The sequence below is a fragment of the Homo sapiens genome, chromosome 2, assembly GCF_000001405.40.
Source record: "Homo sapiens chromosome 2, GRCh38.p14 Primary Assembly".
Lineage (NCBI taxonomy): Eukaryota > Metazoa > Chordata > Mammalia > Primates > Hominidae > Homo > Homo sapiens.
In genome coordinates this window covers 233,065,017-233,092,734 of record NC_000002.12, presented here as the reverse complement: position 1 = coordinate 233,092,734, position 27,718 = coordinate 233,065,017, and the positions used below count along the sequence as shown (strand labels likewise).

The window sequence follows — 27,718 nt, the reverse complement described above, 5'->3', positions numbered from 1 at the left end:
CTCCACCTCCCACGTTCAATGTTTGCCTTTGAAATTGCCGTTTCCTTCTGCCACATGCAATTAAGGAAGCTCATCCCCTTGCTATTTCCATTTCCCCTTTCCTTCTCACCCCAAGCAAAGGTCCTGTATTTACATGCAGCTCCATTTAAACTCCTCCCCTTCGAGAATTTAACCACACATCTTTTGGTACCTCACACCCGTATAGATGGCATTCATCATTGCACAGGCTCATCAATGCTAAAAACCTGCCCTAATCATTATGTTTCAAAAGCCCTCATGGTTCCACTGGGCCCAGGAAGGCAAGCAATCTCCATTTTCCCCATTGCCCAGAGCCTATGAGGGATATTTTTATCCTTAATTACATATCCCTGAGACGCTCTTCTTTCCAGCTTGCTTCTTTTCTTTTCGTAAAACTCTTGAGGTACTCTGGGGAAGACAGAAGTGACAGCTGGCAGACCAGCCCAGAGTCCCCAGCCCTGGGAGCAGCCTGGAGAGAAGCTGCCTGAGGGGGCAGAGCCTGGGACGGCTCCCTGATAAGCCTGGCAGCTCGGGCCCCCAGTCACTCCGGCCGCCCGCCTGCCTCATCCCAGACCCAGCGCCAACCTCGCAGAGCTGATTATGAAACATTGGCCCTGAACGCCTACATCTTGGGAGGCTTTGCTAATCTTGTAGAATGAATCAGATAATTTCGGAACAGGAAAGCTTTGGGGGTCTCCACTCTCCTTCCCTCCTTGGCCTTTCCCACTTTGTTTGTATTGCAAATTTACTCCTTCATTCAATCATGCAGCAAATGTTTACTGAGCACCTACTCTGTGCCAGGCATCCTTCTGGTGCTACAGAGACAGTGGAGAGCAAGATGGACAAGGTCTTGGCTCTCGTGAGTCTTACATCCTCGTGGTGGAGACAGATAATAAATGAGTGAGTCAATACAGAATCAAGATAGTTGCTGCGGTAGAAAAAATAACGGCCTCCGCCTCCCAAGCCCTCCTTATCCCTGGAACCTGTGGCTGTTATGTACCATGGCCTGAGGGAGATAAGGTTGCTCATGTGCTGGCCTCGAGGTTGGGAGAGGATCCTGAATTATTCAGCTGTTCCCAATCTACGTTCAAGAGTCCTCATAAGGGGAAGAGGGAGGCAGAGAGTCAGAGCCCTAGAAACGGCATTATGAGAAAGACTTGATGGGCCATTACTGGTTCTGAAGACAGAGGAATGGGCCATGAGCCAAGGAATGCAGGTGACCCCTAGAAACCAGAAAAGGCAAGAACAGGGATTTTCCCCTGAAGCCTCTGGAAGGAGCTCAGCTCTGCCAACACCTTGACCTGAGCCCAGTGAGAGCTTCTGGACTTCTGGCCTGCACAACTGCAAGATAATAAATTGTGTTGTTTTAAACCCCTCTGTTTGCTGAAATTTGTTATAGTGGCAATGGAGACAAATCCCCTTGCAGACAGCGATAAGGGCTATGAAGAAAAAACAGGAGTGCTATAAGGAGCGGCTATGGGACAGGGCATGATATTAGATGGGAAGACCTGGGAAAAGGCCTTGGAGGAATCCTGTTGGCCAGTCAGCCACATAGTGACCTGAGGGACGGAGTCCCAAGCACAAGGCAGGGCAGGTGCCAAGACCCTGGGGCAGGAAGGAGTTTAGTGTCATAAGAGTAAGTATCTCCCCAGCACCTTCGTCAGGGGAGAAAGCAGTTCTATTGTCTGGTTTCCCAAGCAGCCAGTGGTATCTTTCTTGTAGACTTCCAAGTTACTTCTTTTTTTTTTTTTTTTCTTTGAGACGGAATTTTGCTCTTGTCACCCAGGCCAGAGTGTTGTGGCGCGATCTCAGCTCACTACAGCCTCTGCCTCCCAGGTTACAGCAATTCTTCTTCCCTCAGCCTCCTGGGTAGCTGGGATTACAGGTGTGCACCATCACACCCGGCTATTTTTGTATTTTTAGTAGAGATGGGGTTTTGCCATGTTGGCCAGGCTGGTCTCGAACTCCTGACCTCAGGTGATCCACCTGCCTTGGCCTCCCAAAGTGCTGGGATTACAGGCATGAGCCACCGTGCCCGACCCCAAGTGACTTTGAATCTGCTTGTTGGAATGTCCGTTTTCTCTCTTTAAAGGCTGGGACTATGTTCTCATGTTCTGTCCTTGTGTCTGTGTGAGGGCGCTGAGAACTCTTTTTAGGGTCTTCATAGCATATATTTGTGAGATGTTTGGATTTTGGAAAACACATTTCTCCATTTCAAGATTTCAGATCCTTTTTCCTGCCAGTCATGAAGGGCATAAATATGGGGGGGAGATGGGTTGGGCATCCTGATGGCCACCAGCCTGGCAGGGTCTCTTGACTCAGACAAGCCAGGAAGAGCAGAAATGAAAGAAGTACTCTTCCATGGCGAATCTCTTTATAAAAATCACTAACTGCTCATGTATGGATTAATTCAATATTTGAGAGAGAAATTTGGATTTTCCTCTCCTGGGGTTGCTCAAAATGAAATACAGTCTGCTAAGAACAGGGCAGACTAAAGTTAACCTCAAAGGTTTTGTGGGCACTGAGTGGTCAATAGAAGCCTCTTCTCAAGCCAGGTCCAGCTGGGCCTTTCATTCAGGGGATGGCGACGCATCCTCTGTCCTGTGCCCAAGGGCAGACACTCGGGCGACTGAGACCCTTGTTCTCAAGGCCTCCACAGCTCACTGGGGGAGACAGACACCGGGTCGCCTACCACCCCACAATGCGAGGATGTGGACGCTGGGCGGGGGGATTGTTTGGAAGCACAGAAGAGGGACTGGGCGCCTCTCAGAGGGTTCTTTGGAAGGCATGGCTGGGCCATTCATTTCCTCCCACTTGAGGGGAGCTCCTTGCACTGTAGAAGTTTCCTGAGACGCTTCTCCCTCAAGATGTAAAAATCTGGGGTTCAGAGTCTAATCTTGAAAATTGCTTGTCATTGGTCTCTAGACCGAACATCCTATGAAGGAGGGACTTTGAGGGTGGCTGTTGTTCAGTTCCCAATTAATATTCACTGAATAAATGAATGAGCTGCCGGGAATCTCTAAGCTGTCATTCTGACCCTCAAGGAATATAGTCAGGACATACGGCTATAACGCTCACTGGACTTGGCTTAAAAGTAGAGTCATCTTGGGTCTCATTCAGGAAGGATCATGACTCAAATACTGCAAAGCCCTTAGCTGGTTCCATACATAGCTGGGGAACCTCCAGTGGTTGGAGAAACAAAGGCCAGTAGCCTTTGTGTGAAGCTCACCCTCCAGCCCAGCGCCCCAGGCTGCAGGGCACAGAGCCACAGCATGGCTCCAATGACATCCCTCTTCTGTCACAAGTTTTATGAAACAGGCAAACAGTGTTATCTCATCTGAGCCTTTGTTTCCTTGAATTTAAAAATGGGAATAGTGATCATAGCAACAATAGTAGTAAACCCTTCCCCAGGATTAAAGAACACGGATGAAGTGCCTAGCTCCTGACAGGGGCTCAACAAAAGGCAACCAGGCCAGAAAGGGATGACAAGATAGGCCCCAGGTGGGAGTTGTGGGGCCTCCCGCTGGTCCCTCCCGTGTCCTCAAGGCTCTCTCTTGTCACCTGGTTGGGACCCCAGGCATCCACCCTCGCCCTCACCCCGCCTCTGTCTTCCTCAGTTATCCAAAGCAGCAGTGACGTATGCCCAGTGAGCAGGCACAGGACAACCCCTGACCCTTAAGGAATATAGTCGGGACATACGGCTGTAATGCTGTTACAGTTCTCAGTTCTCAGAGGATCCCAAGGCAGACAGGGTCTAGGGTCCCTACTTGGTGCCTCTGTCCTCCATGACCCTCGCGCCTGGGCCCCGATCGGGCAGTCAGGATTTCCAGGCACTTGTCCTCCTCTCCAAGGCCCCTTTGGATGGCCTTGCTGTCAATCCCAGGACACCTGAGTTTTTTGTGTCCCAAAGTCTCAGCCCTTTCTCCTTCCCCTGTGCCTGGTGTCCCCAGCTCTTGGCCAGTCATGGGCCGGGGCCTCTGCCCGGTGACCCCATGTTGGTGTCAGCGAGCTGACTGGCCTCTGTGCGTCCTCGCCATTTTAAAACAGTCATCCATGGAGTCACGTGTCAGACATGAGCTGCATGTTTACATAAACCATCTCTTTTAGTCCTCAAAATCTCCACAGGAGAGAAGTACTGCTGGCCTCCCACTGTTTCTGAGGAGGAAACAGAAGCTTGAGAGAAGAAACTGCTTCCCCGAGGGAACTAGGACATTACACCACCCTGAAGACCCGAGGAAGAGCCTTCTCTGGAAATGTGGCTGCTGGAACTTGTCTCGGGACATCTCGGGAAGCATCGGCAGCCTCACGTGGACGTCAAAAGGCAAGGCCTTTATGACCCAGGAGTGAAAATCCCAGGAAGAGGAGAAAGATGAACAGACAACAGGGCCAGTGAAACATGAAGATCAGCCAGGCAAGGCAGGCTTGCAACAAAATGAGAACCTTGGCGGGGCTGGTGGCTCATGCCTGTAATCCCAGCACTTTGGGAGGCTGAGGCGGGCAGATCACAAGGTCAGAAGTTTGAGACCAGCCTGGCCAACATGATGAAACTCCGTCTCTACTAAAAATACAAAAAATTAGTCGGGGGTGGTGGTGCATGGCTGTAATCCCAGCTACTTGGAAGGCTGAGGCAGGAGAATCGCTTGAATCCAGGAGGCAGAGTTTGCAGTGAGCCGAGATCTTGCCATTGCACTCCAGCATGGGGGCTAGAGCGAGACACTGTCTCAAGAAAAAAAAAATGAGGAGCTCAATTCAATGCTGAAATGAGGATCCACTTTGGAGGGAGCTACAGCAGAACTGAGTCCAGAAAAGAGAACCCGTCTCGAATGCAGAGGAAGTTGACCAAGGCATGAAAAGCAAGTCAATAGATAACGGCGGATCCTGTGGAGGACAAATTTAAGATTGATGACTACAGCAAGGGTGAGATAAATCATAATTTTAAGTGAAACCTGTAGCACTTTCTATCTTCTTAATGGTGGCAGAAGAGTTAATTCATTCAATAAGTATTTATCAAGCACTCACTACATGCTAGGAATAGTTCTAGTATAGATGATAAATAAGTCAATATAAAAATGTATATTTTCAAATACCTCAGGGCTGGGCATGGTGGCTCACACCTGTAATCCCAGCACTTTGGGAGGCTGAGGCGGGCAGATCACAAGGTCAAGAGGTCGAGACCATCCTGGGCAACATGGTGAAACCCTGTCTCTACTAAAAACACAAAAATTAGCTGGGTGTGGTGGCATGTGCCTGTAGTCCCAGCTACTCGGGAGGCTGAGGCAGGAGAATCACTTCAACCCGGGAGGCAGGGGTTGCAGTGAGCTGAGCCGAGATTGTGCCACTGCACTCCAGCCTGGTGACAGAGTGAGACTCCGTCTCAAAAAAATAAATAAATAAATAAATATAATATAAAATCAGGTAGTCACAAGTGCCACAAAGAAAAGAAAGGAGGGTAAGGGGTTAAAGAGCAACAGGTGAAGGGTGGGGTGACTATTTTTCTGGGGTGATCAAGTGAGGCCTCTCAGAAAGACTTTCTTCTATTTGGCAAACCCGAAGTGGCCTCTTGCAAATCTGACAGACACAATTAGACCCGGAAGCTGATCTCGAAGGGCAAAGTCAAGATGAGAAGCGAAACCATCCTGCAATAAGCAAGAAATCATGCCTCCCCAGTGCACAGACATTGTTAAAATACTGATTGATTTTTGTGCTTTTTCTGGTCAGGGTTAGAGAAAGAGATGTTGAGCCCAAGGATGTCTGACAGGAACATAAGTCATTAGGAATGTCTGGGACAGGGCTGGAGCAGGTCCCAGAAACACGACACAGGCTAAGGAGAAGGAAGACCCAGAGACTGTGTTGTCAGACCGTGGCTCATGGGCATTTGGTGCAGTGAAACTCGATATTCAATTTGAAATTTTCACTTTTCTGCTTTGAAATTCCCCTGGGATAGTTTAAACCTTTGTAAGTTAGGACACTTTTAGCTGTTAGAAAACCCTAACTCAACTAACTTGAGCAAAAAGAAATTAATTAACTCACAAAACAGAAAATCTAGAGGAGGGCAGATCCCAGGTTGCTTCATTCTGTTCAGCAAATTCAAGGGCATCATCCAGGACCCAGGTTCACTTCTCCTTTCCGTGTGTTGGCCTCACTCGCCAGCTACCTCTCCTCATGGTTACAAGGCAGCAGCAGAGACCCAGCTATCACATCCTATGGCAGCTTCCAAAGGTAGGAAAGAGGCTATCTTGGCTGGGTGCGGTGGCTCACACCTGTAATCCCAGCACTTTGGGAGGCCAAGGCGAGCAGATTACCTGAGGTCAGGAGTTCGAGACCAGCCTGACCAACATAGTGAAGTCCCATCTCTTCTAAAAATACAAAAATTAGCCCGGCATGGTGGCAGGTGCCTGTAATCCCAGCTACTTGGGAGGCTGAGGCAGGAGAATCACTTGAACCCAGGAGGCGGAGGTTGTGGTGAGCCGAGATCATGCCATTGCCCTCCACCCTGGGCAACAAGAGCGAAACTCTGTCTCAAAAAGGAAAGAAAGAAAGAAAGAAAGAAAGAAAGAAAGAAAGAAAGAAAGAAAGAAAGAAAGAAAGAAAGAAAGAGGCTATCTTATCCCTATGTCTGTTTTTAAGACAAACAGACCTTTACTAGAAGCCCACAAAGCCCTTCTCTTCACATCTCATTGGTTACACTTGCATCCCATTCCCCAGTCTAAACTTATCGGCTACATGGTGCATGTTGATGTTAGTTCTAGACCGCTTTGGGTAACAAAGACAGGAAACAGGCCCATGATCTGGGGCAAGGTGAACCAGAAGGCTCTGGAACATGGAGAAACAAGGACAAAATGGCTAGTGGGGATGGGGAGAAAATAAAGACAGTCATTTGGAGGTAGAGATGACAAATGGCATGGATACTCTTTCCAGAATTCTCTGACAGACTGGGGAAGGGATTAGGGATCTTGCAGCCACACAAGAGGGAGGGGCTGCTCAGTCACAAAGGCATGTGTACCCCAGGGGGCTAGAAAACGGGGGGAGGCTTGGCTTTCTCAGGGGATTAGAAGAAAGATGCCAGAAGAGCTGGAATAAAAACTTACTCAAAGACCTAACAGAAGAAAGGTCTTTTGTGTCAAAGAACAGAGTTTGCAAAGTGAACAAGCCGAACACATTGCAGGTACTATCAATGAAAGGAAAATGACAACACTGGAAAAGAATTCCCACCGGCTTCAAAGTAGAAAAAAAGAAAAAAATGGGTCGCCTCTATAGGAACCAGCACAAGTTTGGCCTTGGATTTTGTACTCGGAACTATTCATAACGCTACATTCTTTTTTTTTTTTTTCTTTGAGACAGTCTTGCTCTGTCACCCAGCTGGAGTGCAGTGGTGAGACCTCAGCTCGCTGCAGCCTCTGCCTCTCAGGTTCAAGCGATCCTCCCACCTCAGCCTCCGGAGTAGCTGTGACTACGGGCATGCACCACCACACCCGACTAAGTTTTGCATTTTTAGTAGAGACGGGGTTTCACCATGTTGCCCAGGCTAGTCCCAAACTCCTGACCTCAGGTGATCCACCTGCCTCAGCCTCCCAAAGTGCTGGGATTACAGGAGTGAGCCACTGCACCCAGCCTGTAACACTACATTCTTGAAGGTAGTGCTGTACCTTTTACAGGATTTTGAGCGAACAGTTGGTTCCAAGAATTTTATATCTATCAAATTACTCTTGAATGTGTAGACAACTAAAGATGTTTTGAGATATTCAGAGGCTTGGAAAATAGATCTGTCCATATTCTGCAGTAGACAGAAAAACCAATTCAAAATGCAGGCTTCTAGAAGGTGAGTGTCAGAGCATAAAGGAACCCCTCCACCAGCACGGACCCCCTTGGGGCCCATTGTCCTTGGCATGGCTGTGGAGCCCACACAGGGCAGCCCTGGCCGTGCTAGGCTTCTATGCCCTGAACCTTTTCTGTGCCCCTTGTTGTGCAACTTCAGGAAGTGTGTTAGAGCCACATCCTTTGCCCGGCGGCTCAGACGGAATCTTTACTTCACTCAGTGACCACTCAGAACAATAACAGCTGCCACTCGCTTCCTGAGCTTAATAACAATGGCTCAACCGTTCACCTCCCGGATGCTTGTGACGGAACAGCTTTTAGAAAGTTGTTTTGTTTTCCCTCTCCAAAAGCCATGTCGCCCGGAGATACGTGACAGCCACCGTCAGGGACCAGGGACTTGAGTCACAAGTGTCTCTTCTTTAGAACTCACCGGAATGGCTCAGACCACTGGATTTTTTCTTCCAAATCGGGAAAGAATAATGAAAGGGTCTATGAGATAGATATTTTCTAACTCTTCATCTAAACTTGCATGAAAACCTGGGAGTGTGGCTGGGCATGGTGGCTCACGCCTGTAATCCCAACACTTTGGGAGGCTGAGGCGGGTGGATCACTTGAGCCCAGGCGTTTGAGACCAGCCTGGGCAACATAGTGAAACCCTATCTCTACAGAAAAATACAAAATTTAGCTGGGCATAGTGGTGCACACCTGTAATCTCAGCTACTCAGGAGACTGAGGTGGGAGAATTGCTTGAGCCTGGGAGCAGAGGTTGCAGTGAGCCGAGGTCGCGCCACTGCACTCCAGCCTGGTCTACAGAACAAGACCCTGTCTCAAAAACAAAACAAAACAAAACAGAAAAACACCTGGGGGTGCTCCCATCTTGACTGAAACAATCAATATCCTAGATACAATCTCAACCTCAAGAAAAGACAGGAAGTTCACAGAGAACATTGATGTGATAGGGGATTATGGGTAGTTCTAATTTTCTGCTTTATTCCTCTCGGTGGGAAGGATGTTAGAAAGGACGCAAGGGCCAAAAGGTTGTAGGGTGGAGCCGAAGGGCCTCTTTTGCTTCAACTGTGGCCCTAGGTTTGAGACAGCCATTTATGCGACACGTCTGAGGCCACTCCAGGCCTCCCTGGCCACCCTGGAGCTGGCCCATGAGGGCGGCTTGCAGGACCTCAGACTCTTCCTTACTTTCCCAAAGAGGGGCCATTTCAAAGGCAGCAGCAGCCTCCCAGCTCAGTCTGCAGCGAGCAGCTCAAGATAGGCACCGCTTCTCTTAGGGGAGAGTCACTTCCCTTTCCAAGTCAAGAAAGGAGTTTTGGCTTTACAAGAAACCCACTCTCTTGGTGTGGGACAGTCAGGCCTGCGGGGCTGAGCCGTTCTGCCTTCGTCTGGCCTCACACAGGGCTCAGAGCACTGCCCCAACCCTCCCCCAACCAGGAAAAGCAGTGCAAGCTGAGTCCAGAAGGTTCTCAGGGTTTGAGTGGCACAGCAGCTGTTGAACAACTGCTTAACAGTTCCAGAGCGTACTCAGGTCCCTGAAGACATGAAGCCCATAGCCCAAAGAGCAGAGCTGAGGGAGATGGAGTTCCAAAATTTACCCCTCCTTCCCCACCACTCCCAGCACTGCCTAGAATGCTCTAAAGCACCTCCAGCTCCCTGCTGTCTCCACCCTCCTCCCCAGCAGCTTCCTTGTGCTGGGAGGTATGTGTGTGATCTCTACTTTCCAGCAGTTTCTTGGCAGTCCTTGCCCAAGGCCACATCGCTGACCAAATTGGACTTGAACCCAGATCCCAGCCGGGAATGGAGTCTGCTTTCATTCTAGGGGCACCTCACTGATTTACCACAAGGGACAGATGCCACCTGGGATCAAATATTATCTATAACCATGTGAAGGGCAAGAGGCCAAGCTCTCTGAGAGGCCACATTGCCCTGTCTCCCTGTCCCTCTGGGCAGAGTCCTGGGCTCATCCTTCCCCAGGGGACTCCAGACAGGCTTGGAAACACCTTCTGGATTGGAAGGAAGAAAGCTTAGCCGGGGAGGCCGGGAGGCCTGGCTGTGAGTTCCAACTTCCGCAGTTCTCAGCAACACTCATATTTAGAACGAGGGGGTTGGATGAAGTTACAGTTTGCATCCTGCCCTCCCATCTCGGATTTTTTTTAAGTCTGTGAAAGATGGAGTGAGAGAAAAGAGTCCCCCAGGTGAGGCAGCTCCTCTCCCTGATTGATACAGGGCTGTCATGGGCTATGACACGTGGGCCAACTCCATGAAGTTGGTCTGCAAAGAACAAAGATGAGATCTTTGGTGTTGACAAGAGAACAGAAGTCCCCAGGAAAAGAGCTAAAGTTACTAAACTAAGAAACAATGAAAGCCTTTCGGTGCTTCACTTGGCAAAATTTCAGGCCAGATTCTTATTTTGGGGAGCCTCGTATTCTGGTGGCACTGAACAGGCTCAGGTGTCAGGAATGAGTTATTTAGAAACTGTGGCTAAGCTCAGAAAAGACTGTGAGGTTTTGCCTCAACATGAAAAGAGGAACTTGAGTTAAAATAGGCAGAGATCAATAACTGCTAAAGCTTCCCCGAAGGGCTCTGAGTCTGCTTAATTGGGCATGAGTGTGCACTTGGTCCTCAGTGGACGTCTGCTGTCATTTACTCTTGGAGGTAGATTTTCGAAGGTGAGTCCACCTGGGAGAATCCTATGAGAATTCCCCTTTAATTCACCTTGAAGGAAAACCTCTTCAGACCACCTAGGTCCACAGCTCCCTGTACCATGTCAGCTACTGCGGAGGTCACAGATCTAGTGCCGGGGTCAGGAGCAGAGAAGTCCAGCAGAGCCGCCCATCTTCTCTGAAAGCTGCCCGCCCACTGTCCTGGCTAAGCGGAGACCTTAAGGAGGCACGCTGCCCCCACGACTCTGTCCCCATCTCTGAGAGGCAGAGGGGGGTACCTGCTCCAAGACAGCCGATTCATACACAGACTGGCAGCCCCTGAGTGGCTCATGCGGAGAAAGCCGTGGAGGCTGAGCCATCAGACTCCTTCTTAGGACTGGGGACTGAGAAGGGAGGCTGCTGGCTGGGAAGAGCGGCCCCACAGAGAAGAGCTGATCCATGGGAGAAGCTGCGTGCAGACCCCATGCTCTTCTGGTTCCAAGGCCCTAGGGCGGCCTTCTCCTTCCTGGCTCTGCACATCTCCACAAAGGCTGCCCACCCCTTACCCCTTACAGAGTCAGCCAAGGCGAGTTTCTGTTCCCTGCACCACCACCACCCCCTGCCCAGTAGCCTGATGAGGCCCCGGATTTCATCAGCAGTTCCCAGGGTCACAAGATGTCACAGTAGCAAGAGTATGATGGTGACAGAGAGGGGCAAACCGGAGACGCAGTCTACACATTTACAGGCGGCGGGTGCCGACTCTACTAGAAGCCACAGAGTCATGTCTTTTCCAGTCATACTTAAAGTTTTCTTCACTTTGAAGGAAGAGAAGAAACCACAAAGGGAAAAAAGATCAAAAGCATCGACCAACTTTTAACTTAAGAGAGTTTGCCGACTCCTCTCAGCAAACCACCTATCACAGATGCCAACTCTGCCAGAAAAGCTCATGCCCTCCTAGACTTGAAAAAAATGGTAGAGGTCATTGAGGCCAACTGCCTGCCCCAGACAGGGCTCCCCTCCGCTGCTCACATCCCACACATGGTGAAGAGCCCCTGTCAGAGACAGACATTCCCATGGCAAATAGCTGCCAAGCGCTGGAAAGGACCTTCTCGTACTAGGTGTGCCAACATCTGCTCCTGGTGACTGCTAAGAACCAGGCCAAACCTGCGGGCGCCCTAGGCCAGTGGAAAGCCTTCAGCAGATGTGCCTTAGAGGCTGCAGTGGACTCAGGGGCAGGAGGATGAGGCAGCCGGCAGCAATGCCAGCCTAACTACGCAGGGAGTGGTTCTGCTTGAGCCTAAACTCGCATCTCCTAAGGAGGCCTCGCAGCAAATGCCCCTGGACCGGGCTGCATCACACATGCCCCTTGGGCCTCTCTCAATCACATCGCTCCTCGAAGCAATTCCTTCCATCCTCATAAGCTGTCTTCCTGAGGGGCGTTCTGCTCACCACGCTCTCCCTCTTGACAACTTCTGGAGGATTTTTGCCTCCAGGGACTTGCCTGTGGTCTCCCCACACCTTGAGTCCAGCTCCCTGTCTACTACTGCATCCTAGTTAGCACAAAATGAATCATTCCCTTCAAGCTTTGAAACTGAAGAGTGTACCCTGCCTCTCCCCTCCCACTTCCACTTTCTTTTCAAACAAACTCCTCCAACGCCGTCATTGCTCTTCCATGACATGATATCCAAACCTTTGTCGACCCCGGCTACTCTGCTTGGGACGTGGATGCACTGCTGTGCCTCTTACTCTAGTCCCTGAGAACTGAGCATCTCTCTCTCTCTCTCTCTGTCACGTGCACACACACACACACACACACACACCCGGGATGTGGAAACTTTGTCTCCTTCCTTCTTGCCACCTCCATGTGCTCTTCATGTAGCCAGATAACAATAGCTTTCCTGGCTTCCACACACTCAGTTGTCACATTTTGTGGCGAAACAAAGGCTTTAGTAAACCGTGCTTAGGGTGGCCTTCCCGGGCTTGGACGGGTGCAGCTGATTTTTGTTTTTAAATTTAACTGCAGCCTGGCGGGGTGGCTCATGCCTATAATCCCAGAACTTTGGGAGGCCGAGGTGGGCAGATCATTCGCTGTCAGGAGTTTAAGACCAGCCTGGCCAACATGGAGAAACCCCATCTGTACCAAAAATACAAAAATCAGCCGGGCATGGTGGCGGGCACCTATAATCCCAGCTACTAGGGAGACTGAGGCAGGGGAATCACTTGAACCTGGGAGGTGGAGGTTGCAGGGAGCCGACATGGCGCCACTGCACTCCAGCCTGGGTGACAAGAGTGAAACTCTGTCTCAAAAATAAAAAATATTAAAAAATGAACTGCAAGTTTTGCACATTTTGACTTTGCTTGGTGAAATCAGATGCAGTGAGCACCAGCCTCGGACAGAACAGAGTTCTACAAATGGAAAGGCACTGTTTTGTGCTAGTCTCGCAGCCCCTCAGAAAACACGGTCTGTTCTCCTGTAAGTTCACCTCCCTTCTCTCCCTCCTGAGCCACTTCCTCTCTCTCCTTTGAGAGACTGAAGACAACAGTCGGCCAAGCCACAGCCCCTCCTTTCCCTTCATCTCTGGACAGTCTGCTTCACCTTCGTTTCCTCTTCACACCTATGGACCACAAATAGCCTGTGGCATGCAACTCCGTCATGTCACAGAGCAGGGTCACTTGGAGGGCCCCAGTTTACCAGCTAAGCCACCCCATGGACACCTGGGAGGAAGCCAGGCTCAGCCAGGCCTTCACGTCCGGCTACCTGCGCGTGCACTTCCTTCCTCATCGTTTACACCCTTTCTCTGCCAGTATCGGCTGAAGTCAGGTTCAGATTTCTAGGTTTATAAAGGACTCACCTGAACAGTGAATTTATCATCTTCATTGGGCAGAATTCTGTAAGTGTAAACGCAATTCCGATACCTGAAATAGATCAAAGACTTTATTAGAACCCATGCAGGAAGACCCGGTTTCCTCTTAACTGAAAAGACAAGACTTCCTGACACAGCTTGAGGAATCTGGACACAAAGTCTCCGAATTTCGGAGCTGACCGTTCTCTTAAGATGGAGGTGAGTCCTGACGTCCAGCAATCGTGGGCTGAGGCACTCTTATTCCCCCACTGCTTCTGCACTCAGGGAGCACCAGGAAAAGGTTGGGGGGGGTCATTTAGGTGGGGACCCGGCAGCTAAAGGATCTGATCTAAAGGAGTCTGCCACATGGAGGGGCTTTCTTAACCTCTCGGCTGCCAAGAAGATAGAGCAAGAGTGGGTGCTTGCAGGCCAGGCACGGTGGCTCACGCCTGTAATCCCAGCACTTTGGGAGGCTGAGATGGGTGGATCACAAGGTCAAGAGATTGAGACCATCCTGGCCAACATGGTGAAATCCCATCTCTACTAAAAATACAAAAATTAGCTGGGCGTGGTGGCGCACACCTGTAGTCCCAGCTACTTGGGAGGCTGAGGCAAAAGAATCACTTGAACCCAGGAGGCGGAGGTTGCAGTGAGCCGAGAATGTGCCACTTCACTCCAGCCTGGCGACAGAGTGAGACTCCGTCTCAAAACAAAACAAAACAAAACAAAAAAACAACAAAAAAGAGGGGGTGTTTGAAGAAGAAACACGACTCCAGTGGGCCCAAGCAGAGCGGCCCATGGTGAATGGAAAGCCAGGCCCAGCCACAGAGGGGCCACCTGTCAGGGGCAGGGATCACTCAGCACCTCGTTCCCGCTGAGCTCCCTGCCACCCCCAAATGGCTTCATCCTCTTGGACACTATGCCCCGTGGATTATCTCCCAGGGGTTGGCCACCAGCCTTGCCGAGACCTGGATTTGCCCCAGCAGCTGGAGAGCAAGTCTTGGGGTTGTTTCTAACAAGAAGGTCCTAGGAATCCCAGATTCTCTTCTCTTTCTAGAAGCTCTACCTTCCTTTGGCACAGTCATCTCTAATGTGAGGAGGAGAAGGTACTTTTCACTTTCCTAAAACCTGTGAGAGGAAAAGGGGGCTGTCAAGTGCTAGCACCTTGGGAGAGGGGCACACTGCGGTGGCCCTCAGCCTGCTGAAACCCTGGCAGCAGCTAACACCCATGGAATCCATCGGCTGCTGAGGCCAGAAGGCTGTCAGGAGATCGAGGGAAAGCTATTTGGATCTTAGGCTCTTACTTAAAGCTGCTGGTCTGTTCTCACCCACCATAATCTTGCCCCATTTTGCTACTTAAGATTCTCCTGAGCCCGGAAGGCTCACCTGGCCCGTAGAGCCCTGTAGACAGGACCAGCCTCTGTAATGAAGCCAGTGCCTCAGTGTAGAAGCTCCACACACTCACCCCCTCAGGTACAGGCACTCCACTGAGCATTTACATATGTTATTGGTATGTTTTGTTTAACTAGATTTTTTTTTTTTTTTTTTGAGACGGAGTCTCACTCTGTCACTCAGGCTGGAGTGCAGTGGCACGATCTCGGCTCACTGCAACCTCTGCCTCCCAGGTTCAAGCAATTCTCCTGCCTCAGCCTCTCAAGTAACTGGGATTACAAGCTCCTGCCATCACACTTGGCTAATTTTTGTATTTTTAGTAGAGAGAGTTTTTTTTTTTTTTTTTTTTTTTTTGAGACAGAGTTTTGCTCTTGTTGCCCAGGCTGGAGTGCAATGGCACGCAATCTTGGCTCACCGCAAACTCTGCCTCCCAGGTTCAAGCAATTATCCTGCCTCAGCCTCTCAAGTAGCTGGGATTACAGGCATGTGCCACCACACCCAGCTAATTTTGTATTTTTAGTAGAGATGGGGTTTCTCCATATTGGTCAGGCTGGTCTCGACTCCTGACCTCAGGTGATCCACCCACCTCGGCCTCCCAAAGTGCTGGGATTACAGGCATGAGCCACTGCACTTGACCCTGTTTAACTAGATTTTTTAAAATATATACTAACTTTAAAAAATGAAATCCATACAGAAAGATATAAAATAAAAAATAAACATCTCCTTCCCCACTCCCATGAGCCCCTCTTCTTAGATTTCCTATTCCTGTTTGTAAGTAAGTTCAGAAATTTTAAACATACCCACAAGATTATATATGCATATCTTTTTAGATGCCAATAATATCATACTATGTATACCGTTTTCTGAAATTTGTTTTTTTCACCAAAAAAGATCATAGAGGTCTTCTCAAGCCAAGTGAGAGATGGTTTATTACTATTTTCATCATGTTTCACCATGTGCTGTACACGTGTTGACGTTTATTAGTGATTGTAGGTAAATCACTAGAAGGTGACAGCTGGCTAAATGACCTGGAGATTTGCTATTTTGATAGAGACTACCAACTGTACCAACTGTCTTCCAATGAAGTTGTGGCCTTTTTTTTCTCCTACTAACCGGATATGAATGTGTCTATTTCCCCACACCCTGCCAACTGGCTGTTATCAGACCTTTTAATCTTTGCAAATCTGAGAGGTGAGAATGATAACTTGCTTTAATTTGCCTTTCTTTATGAGAAAAGTCCTTCAGCATGTTCCCATGTTTAGTTATCTGTATTTCTTTTTCTGTGAATTCCCTTTTGTGTCTTTGACTCGCTTATTTTGGTATCATTTTTTGCTTAGTTATGAATAAGACTCTGATATATGCTACAATATATTTTGGAGTTATTTTTAACAGGTTGTTTTTAAAGCTGTGTAGATGTTTTACAATTTTATGTGGCTAATTTTACAATATTTTATTTTATGGCTTTTGCATCATGGGTACTTAAAAAGAATTTTGAGTAATTTCACTTCCACATGTCTCTTCACTTCACATAGAAAAGGTGATTTTTCTGTCTTTCTTCCATGGCTTTAGTCCCCATCCTTCTGCTCCCTGTCCTACCTCCAGAGCCTGAATTGATACAATCGTCTTGCATCAGAGATAGCAAGGATGAATCTCTAGTCCAGTGACACTACATCTCCCAGGGACACCTCTGGGACACAGAGAACCACTGGCCTCAATCCCCTTTGCAGAGCCTGCCAGACAAATGTGGAGATAGCTCAACTCTGCTGTGCTCTTATTTTTCAATGCTCTCTTCCCTTGGCACTTCCTCCTGTAGGTATGCAAATGAGGTGAGGGGTGAGAACAGCCTCTTATTTGGCTGAGGGCAGCTGACTTGTGGAAGAGCTCCAGCCAGCCCAAACATCAGCCTGTAGACAGAGAGAAAGAACATAATCACGAAGGGAGAGTCAGAGGCAGGCGCACAGAACAGGAAAGGCTTTTTGGTTCAATCAAGTGTGGCAGACAAACCTTTATGGCTTTTTCAAAGATGTTCTAGAAACACTGAAACAAAGAAACAGCTCCATGTTACCAAAACAGATCAGAATTCAAAAGCTAGTATAACAGGAAGAAGATACTTCCCCCTTAGACAGTAACATCTCAGCAGATGTTAATGACCCTGCATAGCCAATGCACAGGGCTGGACATTCTGACCCCCAGGGCTGAATCAGTTTCAACCTTCAAGGGAAAACATACAGCACCACCCCACACACACCCCATCAGCCCCGCCACACACAAGTCGTTGGGTGAGCAGTAGTACCAAACTGTATTCCACGGGTGTGGAGGCTCTGCCAAGCGGTGGAGGAAGGTGCTCACTTGGCCTGCCACCCCACCAGCAGTTTGTACTTCACTCTGGTCCTATATACACACACACACACACACATATACATGTGCACACACAACATATGCATACATGTGTATACATGTAACATGCATGCATGCATGTGTGTATGTACACATGCACACACACACACACAATATCTTGCATGCAAAATGTTTAAAGCAAAGATTCTACAACTAAATAGTGTTTGGCAATTGCTGCCCTGGAACATAACCTGGAAAACATGCTCACTGCTCTTTAGGGGCAGTGGGTCCCGCCCAGCCCTTCCCCAGCTCTTTGTGGTGATTTGGTAACACCTTGTTACGCTAACACTGGCTCTCAGCTGAGACTCCTCCCAGTGACTGGATGACCTTTCAGAGTAATCAGATCAGGATTATTCCCATTGGAGATCTGGGTTAGGATAGCACTGGGCCCAACAGTACTTCCTTCTGCTAACAAATGAGATTTGTTCCATTCCCAAATGAAGGGGGGCTTACAGCAAATTTCCCATGTGACTCCCACAGGTGCTGGGTGATGACAGGTGCCCACCCTGTGCTGAGTGTGGAGGCAAAGAAGAGGCAGGAAGGTGCTTCTCAGTAGAAGAGCATTTCTGGACCAGGTCAACCCTGATGTAGTACGAGAAGTTCTACTCTAATATGGGAGGACAAGCCCGTGGAAGTAGGAAGAAACATCATCGTGTTTGATTCTTTCAGATAAATCTTAGCATTTCTGTGTGGCCATTCCTAGCCAAATGAACACTGACAGCCAGACCCAGGAACATCTTCACCATGGACAGACCCACAGAGAGACAGAGAATCCAACTATAAAATTCAAGAACCTCTTTGTGTTCCTATCTTGCTTTGCTGATCTGCTCCTGTAATTGCTTTTAAATCCTTTTGTGACTCTTGTTACGTATCATTTCTAATTTCTAATGTTTTTGTCTGTGTTTTTGCATTTTCTTAAGACTTGTGTTTCTGCAGATTTCTGGACAAGATGGGGTAGGAGAACGGGGGCTGGAAACCCTGCGTTCAAAAAAAAAACACAAAAAAAACTATTTGCACCAATGTAGAAGGACAAGAAAATGTGTGGCAACCTTGGGAAACAAACTGTTCACCATTCGCCACTCCAAACCTTGAAGAATCACAGCCAGAGAGAAAGCTAAAGTTGATGAATGAAAAGAGGCCATTTCTTGCTAACATGGACCCCTCCAGAAGGGAGAAAGCATTAACAGGTGGCTCAGCTGGCCAGGAGGTGAGAGATGGAGGTGAGGCTGGCCGAGTATTATTGGGAGCTGGCTGAGCACCCCCACAACAGCTTGAGGGTCCAGCGGGCTATTCCTCGTCTGACAGCTACTCAAAGACAAGACCCAGGTATGAGGCGCCCCCTCTCAACCCTTGGAGGGAGCCCATCCTCTGTGTGTCTCACCACACCCTCATCTCTGGCCCCACCACCGGCTGGATCTTGAATTGTCATCTCCCATCCAGTGCCAGTCGTTTTAACCCACTCCCATCTCTGAACAAATCTGATCCAATTGTTCTCGACAGTTCTTTGTCAGAAAAGAAAAATCACCTGACCTATGAAAACATGTCACCATCCAGAAAAGGGCATTTTCCTAAGGACTCCAGGGAGTTACTTCCATCTTAAATAGAATCACTGATAAAAATAAATTCTGGACAAGTCTGATTTGTGAACTCAGGAAGATTCGAGAGACCACTGCATATCAGAAATTGGAGGGATTGATTGTGAAAAATGAGCAAACTGAGATAAAGGAAACTGACCATTAGGGACAGCCGGGACGTTTAGAGTCAGAATTTAACACACGACAGAGGCAGGAAATAGCAGCTATGGATTGGAGAAAGTGAACGAGGAAAAAGACACACTCAAGAAAGTGGTACTAGAGGAAAAGACAAAGATTTAAAAAAGAGAGGGAAGAAGAGAAATACAGAAGCTGATCTCAGTCCTACAGATGCAACAGGGCTTCCTGAAAAGACAGAGATTTTTTTTTTTTTTTTTTTTTTTTTTGAGATTGAGTTTCGCTCTTGTCGCCCAGGCTGGAGTGCAATGGCTCGATCTCGGCTCACTGCAACCTCTGCCTCCCAGGTTCAAGCTGTTCTCCTGTCTCAGCCTCCGGAGTAGCTGGGATTACAGGCACCCGCCACCATGTTCGGCTAATGTTTGTACTTTTAGTAGAGATGGGGTTTCACCATGTTGGCCAGGCTGGTCTTGAACTCCTGACCTCAGGTGATCCGCCTGCTTCAGCCTCCCAAAGTGCTGGGATTACAGGCGTGAGCCACTGTGTCCGGTCCAGAGATCATTTTTTAGAATATAAAAACAAAAAGCAGAAGAGATTAACCAACCTAAGAGCCTGTCACTTGAAAAGTAGGAGATTAAATGGACAAACCTGTGACAAACAGAATCAAGGAAAGAAACAAATGCGAGTGAGCTGGACAGCCTCTCCCTGCCTCCCCTCCCCCAGCGAGACCCACTCTCTACCCTTTTCCACCTGCCCTGTGCAGCCAGCAAATCTCCGGGGGCTGCTTTACCCAGGTTTGGCTGAAGCGAGGCACCAGCAGGGTGAGTGAAGGGGGGATGGGCTGATTTGTTCCACTGACCCCACCCTGCCTGCTGCAGATTTGCAGGGACAGAACTCCACCTCTGGAGTCTCCTAGCTGCAGCCCTGCCAGGTTCTGGTGACACAGCTCTGGCCACTGCCTCTTCAGTTCAGGGGTGGGAATGGATCCTGAGGGTGCCAGCCACTGGCTGCCTTGCCATTCCTGTCTTTATCACTCCTGTTGAACATGCCATCTATTTCCTGCCAGGACCCTGGGCACCACAAACAGTTAGAAATGAGAAAATGAAGACAGCCACAATAAAAGAGAAAACTTACAGTTATACAAAACTATGCATGATTGTTTGCCAGAAATTTTGAAAATCTCAACAAATAGATTGTTCTCTGAAAATTACGTATAACTTAACAGAAGTGACATGGGAGGAAATAGAAAACAAGACCAATTCAACACTAAAGAATAAATTGAAGTAAATATTAAAGAATTATCTGTATAAATGGCATTGAGAAGAAGTGGCTTTACCAACTTTTTTTAAGTATTTCAAAAATCAGATAATAATTATGCTACATAAATGCCTCCAGAATATTTTGTAAAATATACATGACTTAAAACCATAACATAACCAAAATCAGGTAAATCAACCTCAACTATGAATACATATATAAAAACCCTAAATAAGTTTCAGAGTACAATAAAAAAGTATTGTATCAAGAATAGTTCATTGTAATCATGCAAAATGGTTTCACATATATAAACCAAATATAAATATATAAAATTATTTTACCAGTAAATGAAATAAGGGGTATAATATAATCATCACAATAGATATTAAAAAGGCATTTGATAAAAATTAAATACTCAGTCCTTCAGAACTCTTTCTAAAACTAGAAGAAGACTGCTTCTTCTTGGACATGACAAACAGCAACAATTACCTTTTATCAAGTGGTAACTAGGTGACAGAGGCTATCCCATGCCCTTCCCAGGTGGTCCATAGCGATTCTCACAGTATGTCTCCTTGAGGTGGATGTTTTCTTTTTCCAATATTCCCCACTGTAGTGTTTTAGAAATACTGGCCCATGCAATAAGTTATGAAATCTGAATAAGTGTCATAAGTATTTGGAAAGTACACCACAAAACAATGGTAATTTGTAGATGACACGAGAGTCAAACATGAGAGTCAAACAAGAAAATCCCAGAGAAGCAACCAAAAAACAATTTGAAATAATGAGGAGTGAGTAAAGTGACAGAATAAAAGATGGATTTATAAAATCTAAAACTTCCCTGTATGTTATCAGTTATAATGAAATGTAGGGGAAAATGTATTCACAATAGTAATAAGAGTATAAGATAATCAGAAGAAATTATAACAATAAATATGCAGGATCTATATGAAGAAAATTACAAAATTTAAAATAACAGGGACAACCATATTTGTTAAGACTGAATATTACCAAAATGTCAATTTATACCAGCTATATTATGGATTTTGTACAATTCCAATCAAAGTCCCAATAGTAGTTTTCTCCAACTTGGCAATATTATTAGCTGGTTCACCTGGAAGAATAGATATGAAAATCACCTAAAATAAAATATTTTATAAAATTAGGTGGTATAATTGTTATGATATTGGGGAAAGAAAAGCAGATATACATGGAACAGAGTACAAACACAAAGAAAGATATATGACTTAAAATATGATAAAAGAGGAACCCCAAAGGGTAAAGGAATGTTATTCAGTAAGAGGTTTTGGGAAAGATGATTAGCTGAGAAAAATACACATAAATCTTTTTTTTTTTCCTTTTTTTGAGGCAGAGACTCACTCTGTGGCCCAAGCTGGAGTGTAGAGAGGCACAATCTTGGCTCACTGCAACCTCTGCCTCCTGGGTTCTAACAATTCTCCCACCTCAGCCTCCCAGGTAGCTGGAACTATAGGCACACACCACCACGGCAAGCTAATTTTTATTTTTATTTTTTTTGTATCTTTAGTAGAGACAGGATTTCACTATGTTAGCCAGGATGGTCTTGATCTCCTGACCTCTGGTGATCCGGCCGCCTCGGCCTCCCAAAGTGCTGCAATTACAGGTGTGAGCCACTGTGCCCAGCCTAAATCTGTATCCTGCATCATTTGTTAAATTAATTCCAGAGAGATTAAATGGTTCAATGTAAAACAAACAAACAAAAACAAAAGTAAAAAACCCATAACTGCTTCATTTGTTTTTACCAAGTACTGTGCTAAAAACATGATACATATTTTCCATCCAATCTGCCCCACAACATTACCACATAGGTATTCTTAGCACTGGTTTTCGAAAGGGGAACCAGGGCCCAGTGGAATTAAATAAACTGCTGGATCCTGGCCGGGCGCGGTGGCTCACGCCTGTAATCCCAGCACTTTGGGAGGCCGAGGCGAGCGGACCACAAGGTCAGGAGTTTGAAAGCAGCCTGGCCAATATGGTGAGACCCCGTCTCTACTAAAAAATACAAAAATTAGCTGGGCATGGTGGCGGGAGCCTGTAATCCCAGCTACTCGGGAGACTGAGGCAGAAGAATCACTTGAACTGGGGAGGCAGAAGTTTGCAGTGAGCCAAGATCACACCATTGCACTCCAGCCTGGGTGACAGACAGAGACACCATCTCGAAAAAAAAAAAAAAACCTGCTGAATCCTTAGCCCAAGTCTATTAGCTCCAAAGTCTCTGTCATAACCCACCTGCCTTGTACAAGAAGAAACAAGTGAATTTCTGTGTGCAGAGGGATTCTCTGCATTGAAAAGCGAAGGGAGAAAAAAGGAAAAGACTGAGAGACTTCACTATATAAAAATTTACAGTCCCTGAATGTCAAAAAAAAATCATAAAACTTAAAGGAAAATCACAATGAAAATATTTGCAACAAGTGTGATATAAACTTGTGCAAGTAGATAACAGAAAAACTATAGCTTCGATAGAAAAATGGCAAAGAGAATTGAACAGACCATTCACGAAAGAGGGATTATGAGGGTCAATAACTCTATCAAATAAGCTCAACGTGACCACAATCAAATGCAAATCAAAATGAACATTCACCACCTTCACCTTGCAATGTATTGTGTTTTGAAATGAAAATATTCAGAATAGGAAGGTTAGAATGAGGCGGGCACTCTCTTGTACAGCTTACTGGTGCATATATGGAAAAAAATTTCTGGAAAGCAATGTATCATTCTGTATCAAGAGCCTTAAAAACATTCCTGTCCCTCGATCTAGTAATTCCACTCCTCGGAATCTATAACCAGACATGTTTATAACATTTCTGCAAAAGACCTTCATCAGTCATATTTATAACAACAAAATGCTGTTGATAACTTAAATATCTGATAATAGAAGAATCATTTCATGAAGTGTCGCACATCATGTAATAGAATCCTGTACATCCATTAAATATGATCATTAGGAAGAAAACCTAACTAAATGGGAAAATGCTAATGCTGCTAGAAATCTCAGACTAAAATTAAAATATGATATTTAGGAAGAAATTCTAACTAAATGGGAAAATGCTAATGCTGCTAGAAATCTCAGACTAAAATTATACATATACATGTAATACATGTATATACAAAATGGAAATTACATACATACAGGGAGGTAGAGAGAAGAAGAAGATACACCAGTGAATTAACAATGGTTATTCTAGTGTCTCAGTGATGGGGTGGTTACTTTTCTGCTTTTTGCTTTGTACTTTCTGTGCTTTGTATAAATACCATTTTTTAAAGTGACTCTAAAGAACAGGACATTGCTGTTTATCAGATCTATTTGTTTCTCCATTGCCACTGACAGCTGTGTGGTCCAGCAAGCCTCTCTGCTCCGGGGAGGTCCCAAATGATCTCTCGGGGACAGCCCTCCGTGGGGTTGTTTACAGTAAGTATTGAACCCAAACTGTTAGGGGCCTGCACTTGTTAATATCGTGTTTTCCTAATGAAAGGGGACAACAGGAGCCTGAAGTGAGCAGGGGAGAGAATCTGGTCCCCACGTGCTGCCGCACCTGTCAAGCCTGAGTACCCCCGTCATGGAACATGCTGTGCTCCTTCCATCGTCCTCAGCCCCAGGACTTCAGTACCCTCTGCACCCACCCCCTCAATTGGAGCCCAGTGGTCTTCAGATGCCTGCCTTTCTTCCTGATGTCATGTTCATTGCCCCTGGTTTCACTCTGTGTGCCTCTGTGCCCCCATCCCTTCCTCCTGCTGGCTTCCAGGCTCCCAGCCCTGTCCCCAGCAGCCTCCGTCACAGGGGCATCACTCAGTCCTCTTCCTGCTTCCATCTCTCTGAGTGCTTCCTCCAAGGAGGCCTCAAGTGACAACTCAGCATCCCCCAGAGGCCTCCAGGAAGTTTCCTAAGCAATCCTCTGCCCCCATTCTCTTCTCTCCTCTGTATGGAATGTTCTTCACAGATGGGTCCTGTACTCCTCTGCTTCTGAGATGTCACTAGTCACTTTTAGCTCATAAAGACTAATTGCCAGCACGATTTTTTTTTTTAGACGGATTCTAGCTCTGTCGCCCAGGCTGGAGTGCAATGGCACGATCTCGGCTCACTGCAACCTCCACCTCCTGGGTTCAAGCAATTCTCCTGCCTCAGCCTCCCAAGTAGCTGGGATTACAGGCACCCGCCACCATGCCCAGCTAAATTTTTCGTATTTTTAGTAGAGACAGGGTTTCACTGTGTTGGCCAGGCTGGTCTCAAACTCCTGACCTCATGATCCTCTTGCCTCAGCCTCCCAAAGTACTGGGATTACAGGTGTGAGCCACCACACCTGATCACCAGCATGATTTTTTTTTTTTTTTTTGAGACAGAGTTTCACTCTTGTTGCCCAGGCTGGAGTGCAAGGGTGCCATCTCGGCTCACCACAACCTCTGCCTCCCAAGTTCAAGCAATTCTGCTGCCTCAGCCTCTCGAGTAGCTGGGATTACAGGCATATGCCACCATCGCAGGCTAATTTTGTATTTTTAGTAAAGATGGGGTTTCTCCATGTTGGTCATGCTGGTCTTGAACTCCCGACCTCAGGTGATCCACCCACCTCGGCCTCCCAAAGTGCTGGGATTACAGGCATGAGCCACCTTGCCCAGCACCAGCATGATTTTTATGTGTGCAAAGCATTCGGTGGGTGCTTACCACATGCCTGGACTTGGGCTGTAAATGTCACTCACATCTTTCCATTTTGTCCTCTTGATAACCCAAGGAAACAAGGAAAAGACAAACAACCCTGTTTTCTAAATGTACAAAGGATCTGAATTGACTTTTCTCCAAATACAAATGGCCATTAACCATGAGAAAAGACGTTTGGCATCATTAGCCATTAGAGAAATGCAAATTAAAACCACAATAAGACATCACTTCACACCCACTAGGATGGCTATAATAAAAAAGATAATAACAAGTGCTGGTAGGGAAGTGGAGACATTGGAACCCTCAGATGTTGCTAGTAGGAATGCAAAATGGTGGATCCACCAAGGAAAACAGTTTAGCTGTTCCTCAAAGTGTTAGACTTAAATGACCCAGCAATTCTGCTCCTAGATATAGACCCAAGAATATTGAAAATATATGTTTGCACAAAACCTTGTATATGAATGTTCATCACAGCATTATTCATTATAGCCCAAAAGTGGAAACAACCCAAATGCCTGTCAACTGATGAATGGATAAACAAAATGTGGTTCTTTCAATACAGTGGCTCATTAGTCAGCCCTGGAGAGGAGTGATTCATGCCACAACACAGATGAAGCTTGACAGCATTGTGCTCAGTGAAAGAAGCTGGCCCCAAAGTCCACATGTTGTATGTTTCCAGTTATGAAACATCCGGAAAAGATAAATCCATAGACAAAAAGTCATTTAGTTGCTGCCAGGGTTTGGGTGGAGAGGGAATAGGGAGTGACTGCTGTGGGTACAGGGTTTCTTTTCTTTTCGAGGTATTGAGAATGTCCTGGAATCAGACAGTGGTGTTGGTTTCACAACATTGTGAATGCACTAAAAGCACGATAAAGAATTGTATACCAGGGCCAGGTGCAGTGGCTCACGCCTGTAATCCCAGCACTTTGGGAGGCCTAGGCGGGCAGATCACCTGAGGTCAGGAGTTCGGGACCAGCCTAGCCAACATGGTGAAACCTCGTCTCTACTAAAAATACAAAAATTAGCTGGGTGTGATGGGAGGCACCTGTAATCCCAGCTATTTGGGAAGCTGAGGCAGAGGATTGCTTGAATTCAGGAAGCGGAGGTTACAGTGAGCCAAGAACACACCATTGCATTCCAGCCTGGGCAACAGGGGTGAGATGAGACTCTGTCTCAAAAAGAAAAAAAAAAATTAGCCGGGCATGGTGGCATGCGCCTGTAATCCCAGCTACTCAGGAGCCTGAGGCAGGAGAATCACTTCAACCCGGGAGACAGAGGTTGCAGTGCGCCGAGATCATGCCACTGCACTCCAGCCTGGGCAACAGAGCAAGACTGTCTTGGAAAAAAAGAAAATTAAGAATTGTACACCATAGAAAGGGTGACTGTATGGAATATGAATTATACCTCAATTTGAAAAAATAACCCAACGAGTGGGCTTTGGCCTTGTCATCCTCATTCCACCTGTGAAGATGCTGGGTTGACACAGGAAGGTTAGCATTTTGCAAATGCAGCCCAGCAGAGCCAGCAGACCACAGAGCCTTGCTCCTCAGGAGTGCACAGCATGGCACGAATTATTGAGGGAAGAGCAGAGCTCCTCTCACTCTATGTCTGGGGTGGGGAGAAATGCCTGGCTGTGAGGACCACATGTCATCATGACGCAAGGGTTCATGTGCAGGGAGATGGCACCAATTGATTGAGAGGTGCTGATGTGAGGCTGCGTGCAGCGGCTCACACTTGTAATGCCAGCACTTCGGGAGGCCAAGGTGGGAGAACCACCTGACTCCAGGAGTTGGGGGCCAGCCTGGGCAACATAGCAAAACCCTGTCTCTACATAAAAAAGATTAGCCAGGCTTGGTGACTTGCACCTGGAATACCAGCTACTCGGGAAACTGAGGCAGGAGGATCGCTTGATCAAGCAAGGCTGCAGTGAGCTGTGATTGTGCCACTGCACTCCAACCTGGGCAACAGCGAAAGACCGTGTCTCAAAAATAAAAAATAAAATAATAATAATTTTAAAAAAAGGCCAGGTGCGGTGGCTCACACCTGTAATCCCAGCACTTTGGGAGGCCGAGGCAGGTGGATCACGAGGTCAGGAGTTTGAGACCAGCCTAGCCAACATGGTGAAACCCCATCGCTACTAAAAATACAAAAATTAGCCAGGTATGGTGGTGGGTACCTGTAATCCCAGCTACTCAGGAGGCTGAGGCAGAAGAATTGCTTGAATCCTGGAGGTGGAGGTTGCAGTGAGCCAAGATCATGCTATGGCACTTTAGCCTGGGCGACAGAGCGAGACTCTGTCTCAAAAAAAAAAAAAGAAAGAAAGAAAGAAAGAAAGAAAGAAAGAAAGAAAGAAAGAAAGAAAGAAAGAAAGAAAGAAAGAAAGAAGGAAAGAAAGAAAGAAAAAGGCTGGGTGCAGTGGTTCATGCCTGTAATCTCAGCACTTTGGGAGGCTAAAGAGGCCAGATCACCTGAGGATAACACAAAAAAAAAATTAGCCCGGTGTGGTGGCAGGCACCTGTAATCCCAGCTGCTTGGAGGGCTGAAGTAGGAGAATTGCTTAATCCTGGGAGGCGGAGGTTGCAGTGAACCAAGATTGCACCACTGCACTCCAGCCTTGGCGACAGAGCAAGACTCTGTCAAAAAAAAAAAAAAAAAAAACCCAAGAAGTGCTGATTGTGTTCATGAATTTATGAATTTAACCTACCAGGTAGACAAACATGCAAAGCATCAAAGCTGGAGCCTAATCTCTGGACCCGAAAGGACTTTTCACGGGGGCTGAGCGTAGGCACAGAAAACCTGGAGACTCCATTTTAACATGCTTGCTCTGCGTCACTTCACATGGAAGATACAGTTAGTGAGTGAAATACATAGGCCTTCCAGGGCACATACCCCTTCCTGGTCTTGCATGCAGAGAGAAAACCCGGCACAGTCAGCCTTGGATAAAGCCCC

General features: G+C 47.1%; 1 protein-coding gene across 4 annotated transcripts in view, besides 7 other annotated features; it reads right to left on the bottom strand.

The window, feature by feature from the left end:
• The window catches only part of INPP5D (inositol polyphosphate-5-phosphatase D), a 147,562-nt gene that overhangs the window by 115,169 nt on the left and 4,675 nt on the right, over positions 1-27,718 (bottom strand). For all 4 annotated transcript variants that reach the window (NM_001017915.3, XM_047444219.1, NM_005541.5 and 1 more), the window contains exon 2: positions 13,337-13,400. In NM_001017915.3, coding sequence (NP_001017915.1) covers positions 13,337-13,400 — 64 coding nt within the window. The remainder of the gene's footprint in view (positions 1-13,336; positions 13,401-27,718) is intronic.
• Positions 3,445-3,944: an enhancer, noted in NCBI's record as "H3K4me1 hESC enhancer chr2:233953501-233954000 (GRCh37/hg19 assembly coordinates)". NCBI's record gives its function as "activates a minimal SCP1, AML or CMV promoter by ChIP-STARR-seq in primed H9 embryonic stem cells {active_cell/tissue: H9 hESC(primed)}" and the evidence as "EXISTENCE:reporter gene assay evidence [ECO:0000049][PMID:30033119]".
• Positions 7,862-7,911: an enhancer, noted in NCBI's record as "active region_17333". NCBI's record gives its function as "activates an Ori minimal core promoter by ATAC-STARR-seq in GM12878 lymphoblastoid cells {active_cell/tissue: GM12878}" and the evidence as "EXISTENCE:reporter gene assay evidence [ECO:0000049][PMID:35858748]".
• Positions 7,902-8,196: a silencer, noted in NCBI's record as "tiled region #10619; K562 Repressive non-DNase unmatched - State 23:Low". NCBI's record gives its function as "represses a minimal TATA promoter and a strong SV40 promoter by Sharpr-MPRA in K562 cells {active_cell/tissue: K562}" and the evidence as "EXISTENCE:reporter gene assay evidence [ECO:0000049][PMID:27701403]".
• Positions 10,282-10,431: an enhancer, noted in NCBI's record as "active region_17332". NCBI's record gives its function as "activates an Ori minimal core promoter by ATAC-STARR-seq in GM12878 lymphoblastoid cells {active_cell/tissue: GM12878}" and the evidence as "EXISTENCE:reporter gene assay evidence [ECO:0000049][PMID:35858748]".
• Positions 10,942-11,031: an enhancer, noted in NCBI's record as "active region_17331". NCBI's record gives its function as "activates an Ori minimal core promoter by ATAC-STARR-seq in GM12878 lymphoblastoid cells {active_cell/tissue: GM12878}" and the evidence as "EXISTENCE:reporter gene assay evidence [ECO:0000049][PMID:35858748]".
• Positions 18,745-19,450: an enhancer, noted in NCBI's record as "H3K4me1 hESC enhancer chr2:233937995-233938700 (GRCh37/hg19 assembly coordinates)". NCBI's record gives its function as "activates a minimal SCP1, AML or CMV promoter by ChIP-STARR-seq in naive H9 embryonic stem cells {active_cell/tissue: H9 hESC(naive)}" and the evidence as "EXISTENCE:reporter gene assay evidence [ECO:0000049][PMID:30033119]".
• Positions 23,534-23,603: a silencer, noted in NCBI's record as "silent region_12468". NCBI's record gives its function as "represses an Ori minimal core promoter by ATAC-STARR-seq in GM12878 lymphoblastoid cells {active_cell/tissue: GM12878}" and the evidence as "EXISTENCE:reporter gene assay evidence [ECO:0000049][PMID:35858748]".